Raw genomic sequence first — 24329 nt, 5'->3', positions numbered from 1 at the left:
GCCTTCCGAGTGGCTGGGATTACAGGCGCCTGCCACCACGCCCAGCTAATTTTTTGTATTTTTAGTAGAGCCAGGGTTTCACCGGTCTCGAACTCCTGACCCCGTGATCCAGCCTCCTTGGCCTCCCAAAGCTCTGGGATTACAGGCATGAACCACCACACCCAGCCTCATTTTCCTTTTTCTCTTCCCTTTTTCATCCTATTTCTTCTTGTTCCCATACTCCACCAAAATTGTTACCAAACCCTAAATAAACATTTATCTCCCACCTCTCAAAGAGAAAGTGTATTTTTTTTTTTTTTTTTTTTTTTTTTTGAGACGGAGTCTCGCCCAGTTGCCCAGGCTGGTCGGCTCACTGCAAACTCCGCCTTCCGGGTTCACGCCATTCTCCTGCCTCAGCCTCCCGAGTAGCTGGGACTACAGGTGCCCGCCACCACGCCTGGCTATTCTTTTGTATTTTTAGTAGAGACGGGGTTTCACCGTGTTATCCAGGATGGTCTTGATCTCCTGACCTCGTGATCCGCCCGCCTCGGCCTCCCAAAGTGCTGGGATTACAGGCGTAAGCCACCGCGCCTGGCCGAGAAAGTGTATTTTTAAATTCGCACTTGAAATCCCACCCTCTTTTTCTGCTTACTTAGGGTACCGCATTCCCCGCCCTTGCCCCATCCCATCATTTTTGGGACTATACCCTTGCCATGCTCTCTGTATTGCCAGGGAGCGTCTATGATTTGTGAAATTCTCTTAGATTTGACTGGCTGCCTTCATTTTAAGATTGAGGGAGCAAAACCGGTTTATTTGGGTGTAAAAAGTTCTTTAGAGCCAGGAACACAGAGTCTTTGCAACATTACTTTCAAAGGGTCTGGAGAGTTACACCCAAGCCCACAGAAGTGAGGAAGGAAAGGAAAGAGTTTTCCACCAGTTGACATGTTGCTGAGAGCTCTGCCCCTTGTCATATCAGCACATTCTCATCGAATCGGCTTTGTCTGAAAATGGATTTCACATTTGCCACCTTATAATTCAACATGTATGCTATTTCCTGTCAGTTTAACTCACCCAAAACTTTTGTTTAACAATAACCAGTTCCCGTTGTTAATTCTCAGAAATAAGAGGACACTTTGGGAGGCTGAGGCAGGTGGATCCCTTGAGCCCAGGAGTTCAAGACCAGCCTGGGCAAAGTGGTGAAACTCCACCTCTACAAAAAATACAAAATTAGCCAGGCAGGGTGGCACTTAGGAGGCTGAGGTGGGAAGATCACCTGAGCCAGGGGAGGTTGAGCCTGCAGTGAGCTGTGATCTTGACACCACACTCCAGCCTGGGCAACAGAGCGGAACCCTGTGTCCAAAAAAAAAAAAAAAAAAAAAAAAAAAAGAAGAAAAAGAAAAAAAAAGAGAAGAGAATAGTGCAACACTGCTTTTCCTTGTTACTGTCCTGTCATCTCCCTGGAGTCCCTGAAACAACACAAATGATGGCTCTTAGCAGAGACCAGAAGTCAGGTCAGGGCAGAGGACCCTCCCTGAATGGCCCCTCTCACCCATTCTTTTCATTCATTTGTCCCACTGGCCTTCATAAGTCTATTATTTGACTCTATTAGTGTATCCCTCTTTATGAGTGACATTTCCTAAACTTTTTCCTACAGAGTGTGTTCTGTACCCAGTGGTAGCTCAAAAAATGTTGACTGGTTGACAATCACTGAGTCAGCTGGGTTGAGGAAACAAGAAGTGGTGTCCTTGGAGGAAGGCAGCTTTTCTCCACCTCCAGGTTGGACTTGATGTCTGAGTCCAAACATGTCTCCTATTTTCTTTTTGGTCTTGGAGATTACTTTCTTGAGATAAGCAAAAAGAGTCCTTACTTGCTTACCAAGTTTGATTTTGCCTGAGTTCTTACAAATAACAATTTTCTTTATTGACACGGGAGTCAAAAGGCTCATTTTGTCCAACTTTCTGATTTTGCAGATCAAGAAACAGGTCCAGAGGCATTGAGATTTCCCCAATAACAGTAATATTATTTCATATAACACAGCTCTCAAGTACTACTGCCTCCATTTTACAGAGGAGGAAGGAGATGTTCAGAGAGATGAGGTGGCTGGCCCCAGGCAGCGCAGAGAGTGGGTAACAGCCTGGGCTTGGAGCCAGGTCTCCCGATTCCCACTATGATGTTCTTTGACGGATTCCACATGGCTTCTGGGCATGGGAGAGGACTTTGGAAATAGATAGTCTGCTGTCCAGAGCTCCAATTAATTTTTATATCTATACTTTGTAATCTAAAAACACTACTGCGAGAACATATGCATTTAAAACATTAAATTATATTTATTTGTCATTCATTGGTAAAGCACGTGGTATAAAATTCAAAAGGCACAAAAGGGCATAGTAGAAAAAAAAAAAGCCTTCACCCTCCTGTCCCACAGCCATCCACTTCCCCTCCCCAATCTCTTTGTCCTTCAGATACATGCTATGCTTAGATAAGCAAATATGTACATATGCACATATAAATTTTCAATAAAAATGGAGGCTTACTGTACCGTGTTCTGTACTTGCTTTTTAAAAAAATTTGATGTATTTTGAATACCAACCCTTATCAGTGCACATAGAGCTACCTCCTTCTTTTTAGTGACGGCAAGTATTCCATTGAATAGAGGTGCCATAATTTACTTGTCTAGTCCTTTCTTAATGGACATCAAGTTGTTTGCCGCTGTTAGGCTATTGCTGTGATGAATACAATAATTATATGTATACATGTTTTCATTTATATGTGCTAGGATACCTAGCAGAGGTTGGCAAAGTATAGCCTGTGGGTCAAATTCAACCTGCCATTAAAAAAAGTAAAGTTTTATTGGAACACAGCTGTGCTCATTTGTTTGCCTGTCGTCTATGGCTCCTTTCATGCTACAATAGCAGGGTTGAGTAGTTGTAATAGTGATGTATGGCCTGGAAGTCTAAAACATTTACTATTTGGTCCTTTTGCAAAAGTTTGCTTGCCTCTGAGCTATAGGATGAATTCTTTTTCGTTTTTTTTTTTTTGAGGCAGAGTCTCACTCTGTTGCCCAGGCTAGAGTACAGTGGCGCCATCTCGGTTCGCTGCAACCTCCGCCTCCAGTGTTCAAGCGATTCTCCTGCCTCAGCCTCTCACATAGCTGGGATTATAGGTGCTTGCCACCTCATGTGGCTAATTTTTTTTTTTTTTTTTGTATTTTTAGTAGAGACAGTGTTTCACCATGTTGGCCAAGCTGCTCTTGAACTCTTGACCTCAGGTGATCCACCCACCTTGGCCTCCAAAGTGTTGGGATTACAGGCGTGAGCCATGGCACCCAGCTGATAAATTCCTATTAGTAGAATTGCTGGGTCAAGGATTTTGCATTTCCTACTTGATTGTTATGGCCAAATTCTTTTCGTAGAGGTTGTACTACTTTATTCTTCCACTAGCAGTGTACTTTACCATGTTCTCACCATTGCAGCACATCAAATGTTTTCTTTTTATTGGCTGATGATTTAAATAATTTTTAAATAATTTATTATAATTTTTGTGGGTATGTAGTAGGTGTATATATTTATGGGGTACATGAGATGTTTTGATGCAGGCATGCAATGCATAATAATCACATCATGGAAAATGGAATATCCATTCCCTCAAGCATTTATCCCTTGTGTTACAAACAATCCAATTATACTCTTTTAGCTGTTTTAAAATGTACACTTAAATTATTATTACCAATAGTCACCCTGTTGTGCTATCAAATACTAGGCCTTATTCATTCATTTGAACTATTTTTTAGTACCCATTAATCATTCATATCTCTCCCCCATTCACTACAGCAAATGTTTTCATCTTTGCCAATCTATTGGTAGAAAATGATATTTCTCTTGATTTCTTTTGCATTTCTCTGATTTTGATTGAAATTGAGTATCTTTTTATGGTTGGAGGAGAGAGGAGCCTGTGAGGGAAAGAGAAATGAATGTGTAGGAAGTTATCAGCCTGAGTTCTCTGATGCAAGTAACAGAACTTATACCATCAAACCAATCCAGTGGACACCCTACCTTCAGCCCAGGCTCCCTGGGTCACTCTGTTCCTTCTTGGCCAGAAAATGAATTCCAAGCAACACCTGCCTATTTGTGTTCCTCTCTTTTTGATAGTTGTGTAAAGTGTGAGTCACCTGCAAAACGGGAGGTAAGTGCTGATTTCAGTATTGGGGAAGTGGAATTTAAACTGTGGGAAGTTCTTAAACATAGGAAAGCTTTTCAAAAGGTGCGGGGCAGCCTGAAACAAATACCTTTGGCAAATACTATACTGTGGGGTGAAACTGCTTTTTTAAAAAAAATTTTAATTTTTTTTTTTTTTTTTTTTTGAGATGGAGTCTTGCTCTGTCTCCCAGGCTGGAGTGCAGTGGCAATCTCGGCTCACTGCAACCTCTGCCTCCTGTGTTCAAGTGATCTTCCCACCTCAGCCTCCTGAGTAGCTGGGATGACAGGCATGTGCCACCACATCTGGCTAATTTTGTTTTGTTTTGTTTTGTTTTGTATTTTCAGTAGAGGCATGGTTTCACCATGTTGGCCAGGCTGGTCTCGAACTCCAGACCTCAACCAATCTGCCTGCCTGGGCCTTCCAAAGTGCTGGGATTACAGGTGTGAGCCACCGCGTCCAGCCAAAACTGCTTTTCAGTGTGTGGGCAGATAGGACATTGTTTCTCTTCCCTTTAGGTGTTTATACTGTGCTGTCCCTGGGGATTAATGTTTGTCATTAGGAGGGGTGTGTGACGGAGCAAGAGATCTAGCAGTTTCCTAGCAGAATGAAGAGGCCCATCTACTCCTCTTACTAGCAGGGAGGCAAGTGATGAGGCCCAGAGATTTGAGGGTCCAAGTTAAGCATTTGCAGGTCCTTGTTTTTCTTCAGTTTAGAATGGAGATTGGTCCATTGCTCAATCCTTGATCTGATGCTCTGAGGCTGGGGCTGTGGGGATTAAGAGATGCAGGGGCTAAAAGCCAGCTGAGTCTTCACAGTTTGTCAAATATAAAGATAAATTGTTTTGAGAATAAAGCTTTATCCTAAAAAGAAAGCAAATCACTAAAGTTTTGTAGCTCATGAGGTTAGAGAAAGGGTCCTTAGCAACTAGTTAGATACTTAAAATGTGGCAAGGTGGTACAGGTAATTGCATTTAGATGTGTAAAAATTAGATTTGTAAGTTTCCAGAGAGGAACTATTGGAAATGGCTCTGTTGGAGATGGGCTAAATTAATTATGGTAAATCCATTTAATGGAATAGTATGTGGCTGTTAAAAGAATGCAATAGTTAAAAGAATACAATAATATTGGGGCTGTTAAAAGAATGCAACAGTTAAAAGAATACAACAATTCCAATGTACAGATATGGAATTCTTTCCAAGAAATTAATAAATAAAAAAAGCAAGGTAAGAAACAGTGAGTAAGTGTCTTAGGCTGAGATCTCTGGAAGCAAAGACTGAGACAGGGATTCTTGTGTTTTTAGGAGAGGTTGCTCCCAGGAGATGGGGTGGGAACAGCATAGAGTAGTGGATAAAAGGTAAGCAAGAGATGATCTCAGTGGATATCAGTGTTAGCCTGATCCCACAGGGAGTTCTGGAGCATGAATTGCACCATAAAGCTGTCCAACCTTTTATACCCCTGTGCTGGCTACAATGTGCCGCAGGATGGAGAATTCTCTATAGAAGGGGGCAACTGTGAACCATTAGCTGCTAACACTCATAGCAGCCAAGAGATGGGTGCACTGGCTTCTTCAGGGGATCTAGGCCGAGCTACAGCAGCACCCCCTGCAGATGGCGTACTGCAGGAAGGATACTGTACTATATATGCTTGTACATGCATGGGAATCTAAGAGTAGATGCTCTTATCCTGGAGTCCATGGATCCCTAAGGGATTCACAGATAGAACAGTATTACAGGCAAATTGGTTTCTTTTGTAATCCTCTGCACTTTAGCTTACATATTTTCAAACATTGTTCTGAGAGGGGGATCCATAAGCTTTATCAGATACTGAAGTGGTCTGTGGTACACACACAAAAATGAAGAGAACAAGAAAGTGGTAACAGTGTTTGCCTTGGGTGGGGGATGAATTCTAGGGGTCTGGAGTCAGGAGTGGGAAAGAGATTCCTATTCTTTGTATATCCTTTTGTGCTATTGGGATTTTTGCTGTGTGCATGGATTACATTCTAAAAAGATTAAAACATAAGAAAATGTATTTTTAAAAACTACCTCCCCACATTTTTTTTTTTAAAGAGACAGAATCTTGCTCTGTCACCCAGGCTGGAGTGCAGTGGTGTGATCGTGGCTCACTGCAGCCTTGAACTCCTGGGCTCAAGCCATCCTCCTGCCTCAGCCTCCTGAGTAGCTGGGACCACAGGTGTGTGCCACCACATCTGGCTAATTTTTAAATTTTTTGTAGAGATGGGGTTTCACTATGTTGTCCAGGCTGGTCTTGAACTCCTGGCCTTAAGCGATTGTCTTGCCTCAGTTTCCTAAAATGTTGGGATTACAACTATGAGCCACTGTACCCAACCCTATTTTTCCTGGATTTTCTCTTCACTCTTACTTCCTACGTTGCCTTTTCTGTTTTATACAATTTCTGCAATTGCTTGTCTTCCTCTTCCTAAAGTCTCTTCCTATCTCTAATGCTTGCATTTGATTTTAAAGCTGTTCTGGCACACTTGAATAGAATCCTGCATAATAATCTTTCACTAATTTTTCCCCCGACTCCTTATCAAATGTTCACTAAAGTGTATAGTTATTTCTTAGCATATATGCACATACTTGCAAAATAGACCACTATAATCTGCACAATTCTTCTTAAATTCAGCTTTTAAAACATGCCTTTAAATGAAGAAAATATTTGTATAATGAGAATAAATTTTGAAGGTTGTTTCACATTCAAGATTCTTTGAGGTTTTTAACCAGAACAGGTTTGGGGACAACAACTGATGCCTCCTTTAATCACAATACATTTTTAAAAAGTTGAGATTTACTAAAATCTACCTTTCAGGATTTTAAAATGGATGTGCAATCTCCACCACTTTTATTGCCAAGGGAGCACGCATCTGCCCTGGAAAACCTTCCTGTGGAGCGATGTCAGCAGAGATAAATGAATGAGAGTACATGCAGTTCTGGAATAATAGTGCAATTTGGCTAAAGGGTGACATCATCTTTTCACTGTTGTATGTGCCATTCTAAGTAGCAATAAGTCCAGCTGAGCTAGAGAATGAATTATAAGGAAAGTACATTGGCAAGGTGGAATAAAATATAAAAAATTGAAAAAGAAGGTAGCTTTGAATAGATCCAGTCCGCAATATATTTTTTGATATGGAAGGTCTTGATTTAATCACCACATCATAATTTGCCATTATTTTGGATTATGTGGAAAGATGCAAAGCTTCTTTCCTAATGGCTGGTTTGCTATATATACACATGTGTACCACCAGAGTATAAATAGGGACGTTGGAATTGATTTTAGTCTTTAAAGTGTACACTTAAATGCTGGAAAATAAAATGCCTTTATCAGTTAAATCTCCTTACTGTGATTCTACATGCCTCATTGGTAACACTTGAAGAAGGGTTTGCTGGGTTTTATTTGGATCGAGAAAAGAATGCCATCATCCTTCATGCTGATGAACCCAGGGGAGGATCAGTTTGTGATTCTGCATGGGTTCTTGAGGGGTCGGCCAGTATTAACTCATTGCTTTTTTTCTCTTTAAGTAACAGCTTTATTGAGATTGGATTAACATCCCAATATATTGCTTCTGTTCTCTAATTTTTTAGAGTGCAACTCAAACCCCTAATATCTCCTTGTCTTCTAATTCCTCAGGCAACAGATGACTTTCTGCAAAGGCACTGATAATAGCTATGAGGAATAAATATTGCAGATGGATTAAATCAAAGAATCAAATTTCAAAGCCAAATTAGTCGTGAAAAGGAGGGAGAAGCAGAAATGAAGAAAAAAGAACCACAGAAGTAAAATCAGCAGCATTGAAAAGAAAATCATCTGCTGTTTGAATAAAGACCCAAGATCTTTCATTGTTGGATCCCCAAAGCCAGTGCCTTTTTTGAGCAGCAAGTCCCAAGATCAAGAAATCAGAAGGAACTAATACTTTAACTAATTAGTAGTAATGAAAATTTACTAGACATCAATGACAAATTTACAAGGCAAATTTATTTCCAAAGTACATTCATATATATCACAGGTAAAATGAGGTTTTCACAAACACCATTTTAAACATAGGGTTTATTTGCAGGAGCTATTTTTGTGGCTTAGGGAACAAATGGTTCATTGAAACAGAACTTTGCTGGTCTGGTTTCAAAGAATTCTATTATATAAAAGATTCTGTAGAACAGATGGGATCAAAAGTCCCTGAACACAGAACAGGAATATCAGGTAATGAAAATGTTCTTTTGGTATAGTATTATGTTTTATGCTTTGAAAGTATTAGTATGCAAGGAACTCAGGCAAGAGCATAAAAGAGGAAGTAGGAATAATACTTTATGTTTGAATAGGCTTTAGACTTTCCAAAATACTTACATCCTACTGAAGCTTGGTAGCAAGTATTATCCTTGTTTTATTGATGAAAAACATGCTTCCAAGAAAGATGCATTACAAGCGACAGAAAACTCAAAGTGGATTACACAGTAAAAGGTATCTGTCTCTCTGTCTGTCTCTGTCTCTGTGTTTTGGCTCACAGAATTGAAAAGTTCAGGACTAGAGTGAGCTTTCAATGTGCCTTGAAAGAGATGTTCGATTGATACCATCAGGGCCCAGATTCCCTTGACATCTCTTAGTTCTGTTTTCCTAGTATGTGGTTAACTCTGATTAGCCAGGATGGAGACAATAACTCCTGAGCTAAATATGTGGAGTGGGGCAAGGATGGCCCTCTACAGGCGAAGGTGGGGGTGCATTTTAATATGAGTATGGGGGAAAGGATCAGATCTGGGCTAGATCTGATATTCAAGAGGTGTAAACAGATGACCAACAAGATGTTAACAAGATGACACGATTAGAAAGATTTTAATCAAGCCTAGAACCCAGCTCCTCTGAATCCTGGCAAAACATAGGTAGGAACAAAACTGGGAAACAAGACAAGGGATGTCCCAGGAGCTGATGTTTCAGTAAGAGCATAGTTGAGAAGAGACAGAAGAAAACAATAGTTAACAGAGGTAGGTGGATTTAGAAAGAAGGCTTTACTTTGAACAAGACTTGATCCCAGTTGAGACTTTGCTGAAGGAATCCCTAATAGACAGACCTGAGCCACCTCCTTCCTTTGTCATATATATGTATCTCATAGGCATCTTACAAATATGATGACTGCTCTATAAATAACCGAGAAATCTTAGTTTCTGGATCTTACCCTGGCCCAACTCCAAATTATCTTCTTTGGTTTTAGCTGGATCTTTAGGAAGACTGGTCTGCCTAATTTTGTTGCATCTCATTGTGCCCTATTTGCCAGGCCGCTTTGATAAGGAGATCTTCATATAATTCCTTTCTGTGTTGCTGCCCTGTCTTCCATGTTTAGAGTTCGAATCCTCCTTTTCTAATAGCTGAAACACACCCAGATCAAAATAAGCTTCATTAAGGCGGCATTCTACAAAGACAGTGGTTCTCCAATGGTGGTCCTCAGATTACCTGCATTTTTTTTGATGCCTTGTGGAAATAGAAAAACACCCAAACATCACCTGTTTCTTGAAGTTTGGTGGAACTCATTGAATACAACTCTCTTAGGCCAGATGCCACTTTAGAAATTATGTCATTGATTACATTTTCAACTTTTTTTTTTTTTTTTTTTTTTACAGTGCTTGATCTATTCACATTTTCACCTAATAGGTTTATTTAACTCAGGACTTTATGGGGTTGAGAAAAGCACTTTATTATGAGAAGAATATGTAGGTTATTTAACAGAGTCACCTGCAGCAGTCAATATACAATAAACTATAATGATACACAGTAGTTCTAAGGTCAGCCTTGCTATTCATATTATTTTCCAGGATCACTTCACTGAGGAACTGAACACGAGCATTTAACTTGTGTGACTAGTTATGGCCTGGTCTGGATTTCCTTCTGTAGGTATTGTCTTGTTCTTGTCTCAGCCTTTTCTTGCTTCCAAGGCCTTACTCATAAATTCTAATCTTTGCTTATGCAGTCTTTAAGTATTGTGTTTTCCTCTATTGATTTCATGGAAGGCTTCCCTCTAATGTAGCATACATTGGCCCTGCCTGTGCAAAGCTTCTTTTCTCTCCAACAAGCAGGAGACTTGTGTCTTTAGCTCTTTTTCTGCAAGAGCTGCACTCTCCCGTTCTCTTGTGGCCATGGCAGATGATTTCTCGTCACCTCCTCCCTCTCCGCCAACTTCCTTTCCTCCATCCAATTTCTTTTATGACAGGAGTTCCTCTTGGTTGAAGTTAACATTAAAACAGTTAACTTTGTTTTTTTTTTGAGATGGAGTTTGACTCTTGTTGCCCAGGCTGGAGTGCAATGGTGTGATCTCGGCTCACTGCAACCTCTGCCTCCCGGATTCAAGTGAATCTCCTGCCTCAGCCTCCCAAGTAGCTGGGATTACAGGCATGTGCCACCATGCCTGGCTAATTTTGTATTTTAAGTAGAGACAGGGTTTCTCCATGTTGGTCAGGCTGGTCTCGAACTCCTGACCTCAGGTGATCCGCCCGCCTCGGCCTCCCAAAGTGCTGGGATTATAGGCGTGAACCATCATGCCTGGCCAACAGTTAACTTTTAACTGAAGCTGAAGTTAAAACAGTTTCTTCATAGGCAGACATATGAATGCTATAATTTTCTTTTGATAATATCTAATGTGCTCTCTCCTCATATCACCAAGCAGTAATTTTGAATCTTATTGTTTTGTCCTTTGTGCCAGGGTTCTCAAGATGTCTTACATGAAAAAAGCTCTGTGGCACATTACATTTGGGAGCTGCTGATTAAAGACATATAAGCTCTTTTGCTGACCATTTTTCCAGAACCTTGACTGGAATGTTAATATCCATTGTAAATCTCTAAGTGGGTACCAGTGTTCTGCAAAGCACTCTGGGAAATGTTTCCCTTTCCTTTATCTTTTTTAGCCAGTCCCAATGTATTATAACTTGAGTGAAACAGAGCTGTCCTATACGCCACTCTCAGCATACTGAGACATCCAAAGGAAATCCAAGTCTGGCTGAAAAAATCACCCACCTTGAAAAACAACGTATGTTGATCAAGACAGATGCCTCTTGGAGAGGGAGCCAAAGGATAACTGCACCACCCGGGATCATCTTTATAGATCTCTCTTCCTGAAGGCCACCTCAGCACCCTAGCTGCTTCTCAATGTCTCTCTGCAGCCTCTTTTCTGTAAACTCTAGCCCTTTGATTTTTCCTCTCACCTCCGAGGTCTATTATATTCTTTCCAGATGAGCTCCATACTCTTTCTCATGAGTAAATTAATTTGACCTTTCTTGGGCTCTTCCAGCTTTTCATTTTACCCAACACTGAGATCATTGCAACAGTTTCCAGAAGTTAGACAGAGCAAAGTCTTTTCTCTGATTCTTCCTCAGAAGGCATGGGAGGGCCAGAAGGTCACTCTAGGGGCTTTGGAAGGAGCATATACAACACCCCTCTTTCCTGGGTAATGAAACATGGAATAAATTGATGAAGAACAGCTTTGTTCCTAATAGAGGTAACTGGGGAATGAAACTTACACTTACTGAAAGAGTCGTGGGCAGATCTGGGCCAGCACAGCAAGGTGGCAGCTTACTGTGTGTGGAAGACAATGCCTACTTCCCAAGAAGGGGCCACTGTGAAAGAAAGATGCCGTCCCCAGAAGGGGCTCAGCCATACATGCTTGGTTCTCTCTTCCCATTTCATTTCTTCCAGTGGGTGTCCTGGTCACAACCTCTGTGCCTAACACAACAACTTTCTCTAGAATATTTATTTGTAATACCTTAGGCCTGGCCACATTTGTCTGGGACAAATAATAAATAAATTACAAATAAATATTTCACATTTGTGAAGTATCCAAATTGCACAGGGCCCACCTTCTCCCACCCACTCCTCCCACTCTAGACTCATGAACACTGTAGAAATTGGTCCATGGCATTTGCACAGAATGTCACCCATGGCTGAGTTGTACTTTGTCTTAGACCAATAGAAAGTTATGCTTGTTTTTCCTTCTCAGGGACTTGTTGGTTTTGTAGGAAGGGTCTGTAAACCCATGAGTCAATAAGATACCCTTGCTTTAGATCTTCACCTACTTAACAGTCTAGCCACTGATATGACGTGGTAGCAGTCTATATCAGCCTGCTGACAGAGGGTTCATGTTGGGGGATGTATTTTATATTTTAATTCGCATATTTTCCTGAGCACGCATTTCTTCTGACCTATGCCTGAGCAGCCTCTCAAACCAGCATGGAAGCATTATGTTTTGCCATCGAGTGCTGGGGGCTCCAACTAAAGTTGTGTGACCATCTTTGGGTGCCTCCTGCTTCAAACACATGTCTTCTTCAGACTTCGCTTGGCTTCTCAGCCATCTGAAGTCCTCTACAGACTCTGATGATATCAGAAGATGAGAAATTAGGATTAGTCTCATTTTTTGGGAGCTCCCATTCAAATACAGCAGAGGTACAATGAGATGGAGACATAGCTCAATATTGCAGCTCTGTAGTTCTTGCCACTCCAATTTAAAAAGCTGTAGGCTGGGCGCGGTAGCTCACACCTGTAATCCCAGCACTTTGGGAGGCCAAGGCGGGCAGATTACAAGGTCAGGAGATCAACCATCCTGGCTAACACGGTGAAACCCCGTCTCTACTAAAAATACAAAAAATTAGCTGGGCGTGGTGGCGGGTGCCTGTAGTCCCAGCTACTCGGGAGGCTGAGGCAGGAGAATGGTGTGAACCTGGGAGGCGGAGCTTGCAGTGAGCCGAGATCGCGCCACTGCACTCCAGCCTGGGCGACAGAGCGAGAATCCGTCTCAAAAAAAACCAAAAAAACCCCCCCAAAAACAAAAAAAACTGTAAAGAGAGTCCTTGGACTCCCCTGATCTGTGATTCTAGAGAACTGTGTTGCTCAAAGCAGGAGATAGACCCTTCCATGTGGGGTGTTGTTATGGTGGCACTTACTTTCTTCCTCTTTGTATCTTTATCTTATCTGAGGTGCATGCAGATGACTGGAATTGAGGAAGGCAGTTTTTAAGGCTCCTGGGTAAGCATGAATCCAGTGGTATTTGCTGATCAGTGTATTCATCTAGTTCCACATTGAGGATTTCTTCTCCATTGAAGGAAGCAACGCTTCATTAGGCCTATTTAGCTCCTATGATGCCTCTTTCACTTCATCCCTTTCTCCAGTGTCCAACTTCAGTTTCCTCTCCTCCTTCAGTCTCCTCTCCTCTCCTTCATGAAGGCTTCCTTGACCACCAAAGCCCATTGAAATTTTGTCATCTCAGTGATGTTCACTGACTTAGCTTTATTGAGCACCCGTGTTGTGCCAGGTGCTGGGCGGAGAATGTGAATCGACAAAGATGAGCAACAAGTTCCAACTCTTGAACTATATGCAGGAATAGTCATAGCCCTTTTTATCTTTGCAATTGAATGCAGTCTGTTAAACAGCTCTAGGGAGGCACCGTTCATGTGGTTTTCTTTGTGAATGGTGCCCCCTAGAGTTGGACAACTCAAAGGGCATGCTGAGGGTGAAACTTGAAGGGCGATTTGTTAGTCAACTTCAAGGGTTGATTGAATGTTAATCACATATTGCCATGCATTTTTTTTTGCAATCTAATTATAAACTTTTTGAGGGTAAGGGTTATATTTTGATAGTTTTTGTATCTTTATGCATAGGGTTTAGCATGCTGTTTTTTCCTTTAATCAAAATTCAGGAAATACTTAATTGAGTTATTGAAATAGCTTTCTTGGTGAGATTATCAAATTAACTTGTACACTGTTTCGGGAGCAGCTGGATACCAGTTTCTTATCCATCACTGTGAGGGCGTGGAGGGGAGAATGGAGAATCAATTTTTATAAAGCTCTCCAGGCGATTCTCTTCAGACCATTTAGAAAATGTTGTCCCAAGATTTCAGCATATGAATATCAGGAAGCAGATTGACATAAAACTCTTCAATGTGCCACAAACAGCCAAGAAAGTGATGTTAAATTTAGGGTCCACTAGAAATCTCCATAGAATGGAATAAAACTATAAAAATTAAAAGAGAACATAATTAACAAGAATTAAGGGAAGGAGAAAGACTGGTGAAATCATGATGTTTCAGTTACCAATGCTGCATAACACACCATAAAAAACCAAAGCTGGCCAGATGCAGTGGCTCACACCTGTAATCCCAGCACTTTGGGAGGCCGATGTGGGCGGATTACCTGAGGTTGGGAGTTTGAGACCAGCCTGATCAACATGGAGAAACCTCATCTCTACTAAAAATACAAAATTAGCCAGGTGTGGTGGCACATGCCTGTAATCCCAGCTACTCGGGAGGCTGAGGCAGGAGAATCGCTTGAACCCAGGAGGCAGAGGTTGCAGTGAGCCGAGATCACACCATTGCACTCCAGCCTGGGCAACAAGAGCAAAACTCCATCTCAAACAAACAAACAAACACAACCAAAATGGAGTGGCTCAAAGCAACTATCATGCATTATTTCTCATGATTATGTGAGTTGACTGGGCTAAGCTCGGTGGTTTCTCTGCTCCATGTGGTGGAGCTGTGGTCATTCATGCAGCTGTATTCAGCTGGGAGCTTGGCTGGAGCTGGAACATCCAAGATGGCCTCATATTGTGCAGAGCTTTCTGCCTGTGATATCTTATCCAGTAGTCTAGCCTCAACTTCTTCTTCTCTTTTTTCTGGAAAAAAAAAAGAATATATTTATTGATGAGACAAACATGAAGGGATTATTTATTACTTTTGGGCAGCTGGACTGAGGGAGACCAGCCAGCACTGGCTCACAGTGGGAACCAAATAGTGGGGCCAAGATGGGTGAAATTTTCTGATGCACCCACATTCACTCCTGGAATCATCCAGGAATTCACCTATGGCATCTCCAGACACAGAAACACTCTTCTCATGGATGCCATAAGCTCTGAGAATTGGCAAAAACCTTAGATGTCATCCAAAAATCTATATGTGTCCTTGAGACCTCTTTCCTTCATTCTTCACTTCTGATCCACCATCAAGTCATGCTGATCTGTCTCCAAAATATCTTCCAAATCTGTGCATTTTTACCAAGGCCACTGTCACCACCCTGGTTATGGTCACCAACATTGTATACCTCCAGTTGGCTTCCCTGTTTTATTTGATCAGCTCTTCTTGAGACCACACACATGCATTTTCCATGTGCAAATCAAATGATGCCACACCCCTGCTTGGAGCTCCAGGAATTTCTCTTGCACCCAGAGTAAAATCCCAGCTCCTGAACAGGGGTATTAATTTCTAGGGCTGCCTTAACAAACAAAACACCACAAACTGGATGGCTTAAAATGACAGACATTGATTCTTTCACAGTTATGGTGGCCAGAAGTCTGAAATCAAGGAGTCAACAGAGCTGTGCTCCCTCCAAAGGCTCTGGAGGAGAATTGGTTCATGCCTGTCTCCCAGCTTTTGGTGGTGGCCAGCAGTCCTTGGCATTCCTTGGTTTGCAGCTGTGTCACTCTCATCTCTGCCTCTGTCACTATGTGACATTTTTGCTGTGCATCTCTGTTTTCACATGACTTTCCTTTTCTCATAAGGATGCCAGTCAAACTGGATTAGGTCCCACCCTAGTGACCTCATCTTAACTTGATTCCATCTGCAAAGAGCCTATTTCCAAATAAGCTCACAGTTATAGGTACCAGAGGTTAGGACTTCAACATATCTTTTTGGGTAGCGCCAGCTTCATTACAGCATGACAGCTGGCTTCTAAGAAGAGGAAGCAGAATTTGCAATTCTCTTAAGGTCTGGGTTTAGAAGTCTCAGAATTCCATTCCTTTCCCTCCCCTCCCCTCCCCTCCCCTCCCCTCCCCTCCCCTCCCCTTCGCTTCCCTTGACAGGGTCTGGCTCTGTTGCCCAGGCTGGAGTGCAGTGGTGCAATCTTGGCTCACTGCAACCTCCGCCTCCTGGGCTCAAGCCATCCTCCCACCTCAGCCTCCCAAGGAACTGGGACCACAGGCATATGCCACCACACCCGGCTAATTTCTTTAAATTTTTTTGTGGAGACGAGGTTTTGTCATGTTGCCCAGGCTGGTCTCAAACTTCTGAGCTCAAGCTATCTGCCTGCCTCAGCCTCCCAAAGTACTGGGATTACAGATATGAGCCACCATGCCCCACCAGCTGGTGCTACATCCTTTTGGACAAGACAAGTGATAGGGCCAGCCCAGATTCTAGGGGAGGAGAAATAGACTCCACCTCTCAATCTGTATACAGAGAGGGGAAGAATTGTTGGAGGCCATATTTGATTAGTATCTACCACACATTTTCATAGCCACATCTGACACACAGTAAGAAGTGGCTATACTTTTGGGCCATCTAAATTTAAGCCAAAAACCAAACCAAAACAAACAAACAAACAAACAAAAAAACTGCTACAGGATCCATGTAACGGAATGCTATTCAGTAACAAAAAGGAGCAAAATACTGATACATGTGATAACATGGATGCTCAACCTCAAAAACATCATGCTAAGTGAGAGAAGCCAGACAGAAAACCCACATATTGTAGGATTCCATTTGTGTGAAAAGTCCAAAAAAGCAAATCTAAAAGAGAAAAAGTTGATTAGTAGTTGCTTGGGGTTGGAGGAAGGAATGAGGATTAATTGTAAATGGGCATTGAGAGATCTTACTAGCGTAATAAAAATAAAAACTGGAAAAAATAAAAAATATAACTAGACGATGTGGATGGTTACACAAGTGAGTAAATTTATTAAAAAATCATTGAATTATACATGTAGAAGGAGTGAATCTTATGGCATACATTTATTTTTATGGCATAAAAATATATATTTATGACGTATCTATTTCAGTAAAGTTATTAAGAAAATACGGGATGGTGGCTTTTAATTCAAAAGACATGCTCCTAAAGATCTTGCCTAATTCAAACCTTGCACAATTTCAAGTTAATTTTCCCATAGAAATAGAAGTAAAGTAGAAGGGATGTGTCTTCAAAGTGCAAAGCCCCACACCTATTGTGGTCTATTTTTGCCTTTGTTTTCTCAGCCTTACATCATTTACACAGTGCTCCCTCTTAATTTAACAACAGAGCATATCAAGGTTGATATCTGGCCTTCCTCATAACTTTTTATCACATCTAACTTCCAGTCCACAGCTATTGATTTTCCAGCACGTTTTTCAGCAGTAGGGCCATCACTTACATGAGCTGTTGGATGACACTGTTATAGACTATTCAAAAGACTTTAATTCTTAACTACTGTGAAATTTAAAATAAGACCCTGATGGCCACTAAGACCATTGGCCGAAGTGTGGTTGTGCCTGCACAACAGTGCTTGTTGATTAACGATGGCAGGTATTTCTGTAACCCGTTAAAGTGACACTTTCCAATGCAGTAACAAAAACACAGCTTACAAACTTCTCAGCCTGCCCCCTTGAAATTTTGCAAATTTTGACAAATTTCCACATTTAAGGAGATTCATATGTTTTAAATTTTGGTCACAAAGTGAAACTTTATTATTATTACTTTGTGTATTGCACTATTTGAAATAATGCAAATTCACAGGAGTGGCAAATGTACTACATTGCAGAGTCGGTGATGGGGAGAACTTGCCAGCCTAGTTCTCCCTGCCTCCCCCATGTTATTGAGATGGAAAAACTTCCAACATTCAGCATGTGCAGTCCAGATGGCTCAGAAGCCCTTTGTATTTGCATCTATTCAATTTGTAAGGAGTTTGTGTTCCATGAATTTGCATTAGGTTTCAGGTTAGACTCAATAATCCTAAATACCAAGTGAAATTGTGCCTGATCCATTCAGCCTCTGGAGCTTGTCAGAAACTCCAAAATTGGCTTGAATTTTCTTCAAGGATTTATGAATCTGGGCTGAATTTGAGGTTCGTAAAGTGATCCAGCCAGAGTTGCTTAGTCTGGGATTTCAGAACACGTGTTTCACACATTTCTCTCTACACATCAAGCAAGTTGTCATCGTCTGCTGGATTTGTGTCCTGCTCTCCCTAAATGACCTCGCTACCCATTTTAGATCCTCATGTCTTCCTTGGTGTTATGGGTTCAGCTGTGTCCCTCCCAGATTCATATACTGAAGTCCTAACTCCCAGTACCTCAGAATATGACCTTATTTGGAGACAGGATCTTTACAGAGCCAATCAAGTTAAAACGAGGTCATTAAAGTGGGCCCTAATCCAATATGACTGGTGTCCTTATAATCAAGGGAAATTTGTACATAGATAGGCACACAGGGAGGACATCAGGTAAACATTAAGGCAGAGATCAGAGTGATGTGTCTACTAGCCAAAGAATGCCAAAAATGGTCACAAATCACTAGAAGAAGAGAAGGCAGGAAACAGATTCTTCCTCACAGCCTTCAGAAGTTACCAACCCTGTTAACCTTGATCTTGAACTTATAAACTTCAGAACTGTGAGCAACTAATTTCTGTGTGTAAGCATTCAGTTTGTGGTACTTTGTTAGGCAGCCCTAGCAAACTAATACAGTTGATAAAATAAGAAGAAAGACAAATAGCATGTGTTTTGGACTTTGACCAAATCTTTTCTTACACATTTATATCAGTTGTTTTTCATAAGAACTCAGAAAAGTAGGCATAAACTTCATTTTACACTTGAGGAAATGGAAGCCAAGAGACTTGATCAAGGTCACACAGCTCCTTTCCTTAGTTGACATAGGACGAAGATCTCCCAATTCCTAGTTGTCCTGTCCTCTTGTGCTTGTTGGTGGTAGGGTTTGGGAATTAAAGGCAGAATTAACAGAGATAACCGCAATCTATATTATTAGAAGTTGAATTAGAGAATAACACAAGCTAACGTTTATTAATCTCCATGTGTCCTGACCCCCAGCACCCCCTAGCTTTTTTTTGAGACAAGGTCTTGCTATGTTGCCCAGGCTGGTCTTGAACTCTTGGGCTCAAGCAATCCTCCTGCCTCAGCCTCCAGGAGAGCAAGGATTACAGGTGTGCACCACCACACCCAGCAAGCACTGTTTAAGGCTTTACCAAATTAACTTACTTCTCACAACAACCCTGCGAAATAAGTGCTATTATTATTATCATCATCATTTTATGGGAAAAGAAAGTGAGGCAGAGAGGCGCCATGTAATGAAGAAAGTTGTTTCCAGTCATGTGAATGAGTTTCCAGGAGGAAAGTGAAACTTTGCCCAATGGCTTTCTCTGATGATTTTGTTTTAACATATTTTCCATCTATAATACAGAAGTTATATGTCAGTTGTGAGAAAAAAATTTATAAGATTTTACTATAATACCAGATCAATTATCTTAATGCTTCCATATTTGCTTCTAGACTTTTTTTTCCATGTGCATACATAACATTTACCCAGAGTAATCATAACATGAAGGAAAATTGGTATTCTGCTTTCTTTCCACTTAAGATCATACCAGAAACCTTTTTCTTACTTTAATGTAGTATCCACCATGATCATTTTAATGAATATTTCAGAAACTCTCCATTAAGCTTTAGAGGCTCTTCTTTTTGGAAGAACCTAAGGGTAACTTGGCCAAAGTTGAGGAAAAGGTGGACACAACTCTCTAGGCTATCTGCAATTTTATGTTTTTATTCTTTGGTGCTTAATTAGTAAACACCAATGATATTTGTTGAATGCTATTCCAGATCCTATTGCTGTGTAACATACCACCAAAATTTGTTGTAAAACAGCAACTATTTTATCATGCTCATGGATACCGTAGGTCAGAAATTCAGAAGAGTTGAGTCAGCACAGTGGGTACAGCTCATCTCTGCTCCACGATGAATGGGGCCTCAGTTGGGAAGACTTGCAGACTGGGGACAACTTGTTTGCTGCGGTCTAAAGCCATCCAAAGGCTCTTTCATTCATACGTCTACAGGTTGATGCTCACTATTGGCTGAGACCTCAGCTGGGGATGTCAGCAGGAGCATCTAAAGCTGGGTTCTTGATAGTTGGGCTTTGCCATAGTATGGTAGCTGGGTTCCAAGAGCAGCATCCCAAGAGAACGTGGTAGAAACTGTGAACCTTTTATGAACTAGTCTTAGAAGTACATAGTGTCACTTGCATTAGAGTCATAAGCCCTCCTAGATACAAGGAAGGGAAACTAGACCACCATATCTTGATGTGAGCACAGTTAAAATTACATTAAGGGCATGTCAGATAGGAAGTATGGATGTGGTTCATTCTGAAAAATAAAACCTACTCCAAGGTCTTTGATATGAAGCTCTCTATTTATTTGTGATTGCTCTCAGTTTGTTGAGAACGTTGCTCTTGTGGATAATATACTTAAAAAATATTACTGCATTTCTCTTTTCTTTAATCTATATATATATTTTTAAAGTGGCTTATTTGATATATTATACCCCTAATGTATAGTTGCTAAAGGAATGAACTAATCCTGGTTTCACCACTAACTTTATGAACTTGGACAATTACTTCTCTTATCTTTAGTTCTCTCATCTCTAATAACGGAAACTACTGTGTCTGAATGTTGTGAAGGTAAATATAATAATGTAAGTAAAGCAATTAGCATGATGCCTGGTTCATAATGAGTGCTCCATAAACAATAACCGCTATACTTGTCATCATTGTGGTCAAGGCCTGAATGGCTTGCATAATGTTTTTCTAAATCAGATACAAGGGATGCTTTGACCTAGCACTTTGATTACAAAATCTCAATAGTTGATAGCTTCAAATAATCTTAAAGGAAGATGTGGGATAATAAAAAGCTGATTAAAAAGGATGGCAGAATGAATTTAACTGGAATTTGAAGAACAGTGTGTTGAATTGGTGTCATGAGGTTCTTTCAAAACTCAAATGGAAAGGAAGTCCATTGAATCTTAAATTGAGAAAATGGGGCTTTTGAGGGATTGATTTTATATTGAAATCCTGGTGGTGTCACCTGGGACTTGCATTGTCATCCCTCCACTGCCTGTCTCCTGAAGAGTCAAGCAGACTCAGCCCACATGCCGCCAGTACCCTTCCAGCAACTCTCTGCAGATGCTTGCTCTTATATAGCTGGGATCCCTAGTTTCCAGTCTCATGTATTTCCAGGGCTGTCTGTATTTTATTCTCTCAGAGCAAAACTTTGCCTTTTCCACCTTTTACAAGAAATGGAATTCCACAGAGGGCATTTATCATGACTTTTTTTTTTTTTTTTTGAGACCGAGTTTCACTCTTGTTGCCCAGGCTGGAGTTTCGCTCTTGTTGCCCAGGCTGGATCTCGGCTCACGGCAACATCTGCCTCCTGGGTTCAAGTGATTCTACTGCCTCAGCCTCCCGAGTAGCTGGGATTACGGGCATGCACCACCACGCTCGGCTAATTTTGTATTTTTAGTAGAGATGGGGTTTCTCCATGTTGGTCAGCCTGGTCTCGAACTCCCGACATCAGGTGATCTGCCTGCCTCAGCCTCCCAAAGTGCTGGGATTACAGGCGTGAGCCACTGTGCCTGGCCTATCATGATTTTTATAGGACTATTAAAGACAGGGGCTGTGGGGGTAAAGGTTCACATTGTTGAGCATTTAACAGTTTGCTCTCTCTCATCTCCTTATCACCCTTACTCTTTACCTCTTGCAGGTCTCAACTCTGCATACCTGACCCTCCCACGGTTGATTAGTCTCCTAGGAAGTATGGTCCAATTTACTAACTATTGAGAAGAATAAGTATTGGAAAAAATGTAAACAGAGAATTTGGGAGAATCAAAATTTCACACATGTGAAATGTAATGCTGTTTTTAATTGCGGAAATGCAGTTTCACAAATTTCAGCAGACTGGAGTATGCTGAAATGTGATCACATGTCATCCCCAGAACAGCACTCTGAAGTGGGCATTATTATTTTATCCCTATTTTACAGATGAGAGGACTGAGGCACACACACGTAAAGTGGCCAAAGTTATTTGAAGCCCTGACATCTAACTACAAGACCCACGCACTTAATTCTTATTCTGTATTACGTTATCTGATAATTCTGTGTGGTCTTTTCCCATATTGGGCTACAAATTTTCCAGACTCAAATAGTTTTAAGGAAGAGTTATTTGTACTCTATGATCTTCAGGAGTTGTTTTCACCTTTTATATGGAGGTGCCTATGATCCCCTTCATCGATAAATTGATGTGCTCCCAATTTTGCCTTTTTGAAATGCTATTTATATATGTATTTAAAAATATTTTAATAGTGAAATCACCAATGTGCAAAAGTTACAAATGAATCAATATACTGTAAAAGATGTTCATTAGGAAGATAAGACCTCCCTAGTTTTTTGGCAATCATTTTATGGTATTTCTGATTAATGATTTCATTTGGGCCATTTCAATGTTCAGTGGTCTCCATTTGTTAGTGTTGATTATAGGATGCTATGCCTCACTGGAGAATGACTCGTTTTGACCAACAAATGTGAATTAAAATCAATAGAGATGTCATTAGCATCCCAATATCATGAAAGATAGTATAACCATTTCTTATGCATTCCGTTTATTAAAATTTGCTAAAGTGTGAAATATGTAGGACAAGTAATGATGTTTTAATCTTTCACCAAGGTAACAATTGAAAGCTGATTGATTCCATTCAGTAATTATAAAATCAGAATGATGGAAGATTGTAATCAAGTAGGATTCATTCTCCTACTTTGTCACTCCTCCAGGCAAGATAAAATTCTCATTTGCATCCTCTCTTTTATCTGAAAAGAAATCAAACTTCTATTTGCTTCACTAAATCCATGAGGCAGATAATAGCCTTTCCTGACTCTGGAAGGGATGGCGAGGCGGCTGCTGCCTACTAATAACTGAGAAGAGAAGGACAGTCTTTCTTCAAGTCTGGGTTGTCTCTGTGAGAACGGCCAACTCTACTGGGATTTAAATATTCAAAGTACAATATCCCTCCAGCGTTTGTATAACATACCCAATAAGGTAGGGGCTTGTACATTATGGTGATGTTTTTCCTTGCTTATGTAAGACAAGCCTGGCTGGATGTAGCTGACCAAATGTTATAGGTATGTAGTCAATTCACTTGGCTTGTAGAGAGCTGTGGTCAACTTTCTTTGTTCCAAAAAGGCTGGAAAGAACACTAATATTCTTGTCTTTGAAGATACGGGACAATTGCCGTTAGCTCATGGCTATGCAGTTGTTAGGCTGGGTGTTAAGAGTGAGGAAGAGGAGAACAGTGGGGGCAGGAAAAGGGAGGGGTGTGGATTCATGTCATTAAGACTAAAACCTAGAAACTCAAGCCTTTGAAGAGGAGAAGGCCAGAAAAATCAGGAGTTACAGACAACTTGAATGGCTCATGTCCATTATCTTATGGGCCTGGTTGATGGCTTTGAAGACAGAGGTGGGGCTGGGTGTGGTGGCTCACGCCTGTAATCACAGCACTTTGGGAGGCCGAGGCGGGAGGATCACTCAAAGCCAGGAGTTCAAGACCAGCCTGGGCAACGTGGTGAAACCCCATCTCTACTAAACAGACAAAAATTAGCTGGGTGTGGTGGCGCACACCTGTAATCCCACCTACTCTAGAGGCTGAGGTGGGAGGATTGCCTGAATCCGAGAGGCAGAGGTTGCAGTGAGCCAAGATTGCACCACTGCACTTCAGCCTGGGTGACAGAGTGAGACTCCATTAAAAAAAAAGAAGAGGAAGAAGAGGAAGAAGAGGAAGAGGAAGAAGAGGAAGAGGAAGAAGAGGAAGAAGAGGAAGAAGAAGAAGAAAGAAGAAGAGGAAGAAGAGGAAGAAGAGGAAGAGGAAGAAGAGGAAGAAGAGGAAGAAGAGGAAGAAAAAGAAGAAGAAGAAGAGGAAGAAGAAGAAGAAGAGGAAGAAGAAGAAGAGGAAGAGGAAGAGGAAGAGGAAGAGGAGGAAGAGGAAGAGGAAGAAGAAGAAGAAGAAGAAGAAGAAAGAAGAAGAAGAAGAAGAAGAAGAAGAAGAAGAAGAAGAAGAAGAAGAAGAAGAAGATGATGATAAAGGTAGGGCAGTAGATCATGTCTGGCCATCATTGTTACATAATCCAGAATGTAGCATCAGCTAACTTGGGAACAGTTAACTCTTACTCAGAAAATAAAAATTCTTCAGGGAAGGCTTTCTTCACTATATGTGCCTGCTCCCTGCCCTCCATTTAGATGAAGTGCTCCGTTATATGCTGTCAAAAGATACTGTGCTTTTCCTTCCTAGCGCTTTTCACATAATCATGTTTGTGAGATTATTTGGTTAACACTCCA

General features: G+C 41.1%; 1 long non-coding RNA gene across 1 annotated transcript in view; it reads left to right on the top strand.

Moving 5' to 3' along the window:
• The first annotated feature begins 8056 nt into the window (after positions 1-8056).
• Positions 8057-24329, top strand: part of LINC02198 (long intergenic non-protein coding RNA 2198) — a 62187-nt gene continuing 45914 nt past the window's right edge. The window contains exon 1 of the long non-coding RNA NR_130778.1: positions 8057-8196. This is a non-coding gene — a long non-coding RNA (long intergenic non-protein coding RNA 2198). The remainder of the gene's footprint in view (positions 8197-24329) is intronic.

Source organism: Homo sapiens, chromosome 5 (genome assembly GCF_000001405.40).
Source record: "Homo sapiens chromosome 5, GRCh38.p14 Primary Assembly".
NCBI lineage: Eukaryota > Metazoa > Chordata > Mammalia > Primates > Hominidae > Homo > Homo sapiens.
This window is presented reverse-complemented; position numbering and strand designations above follow the sequence as displayed.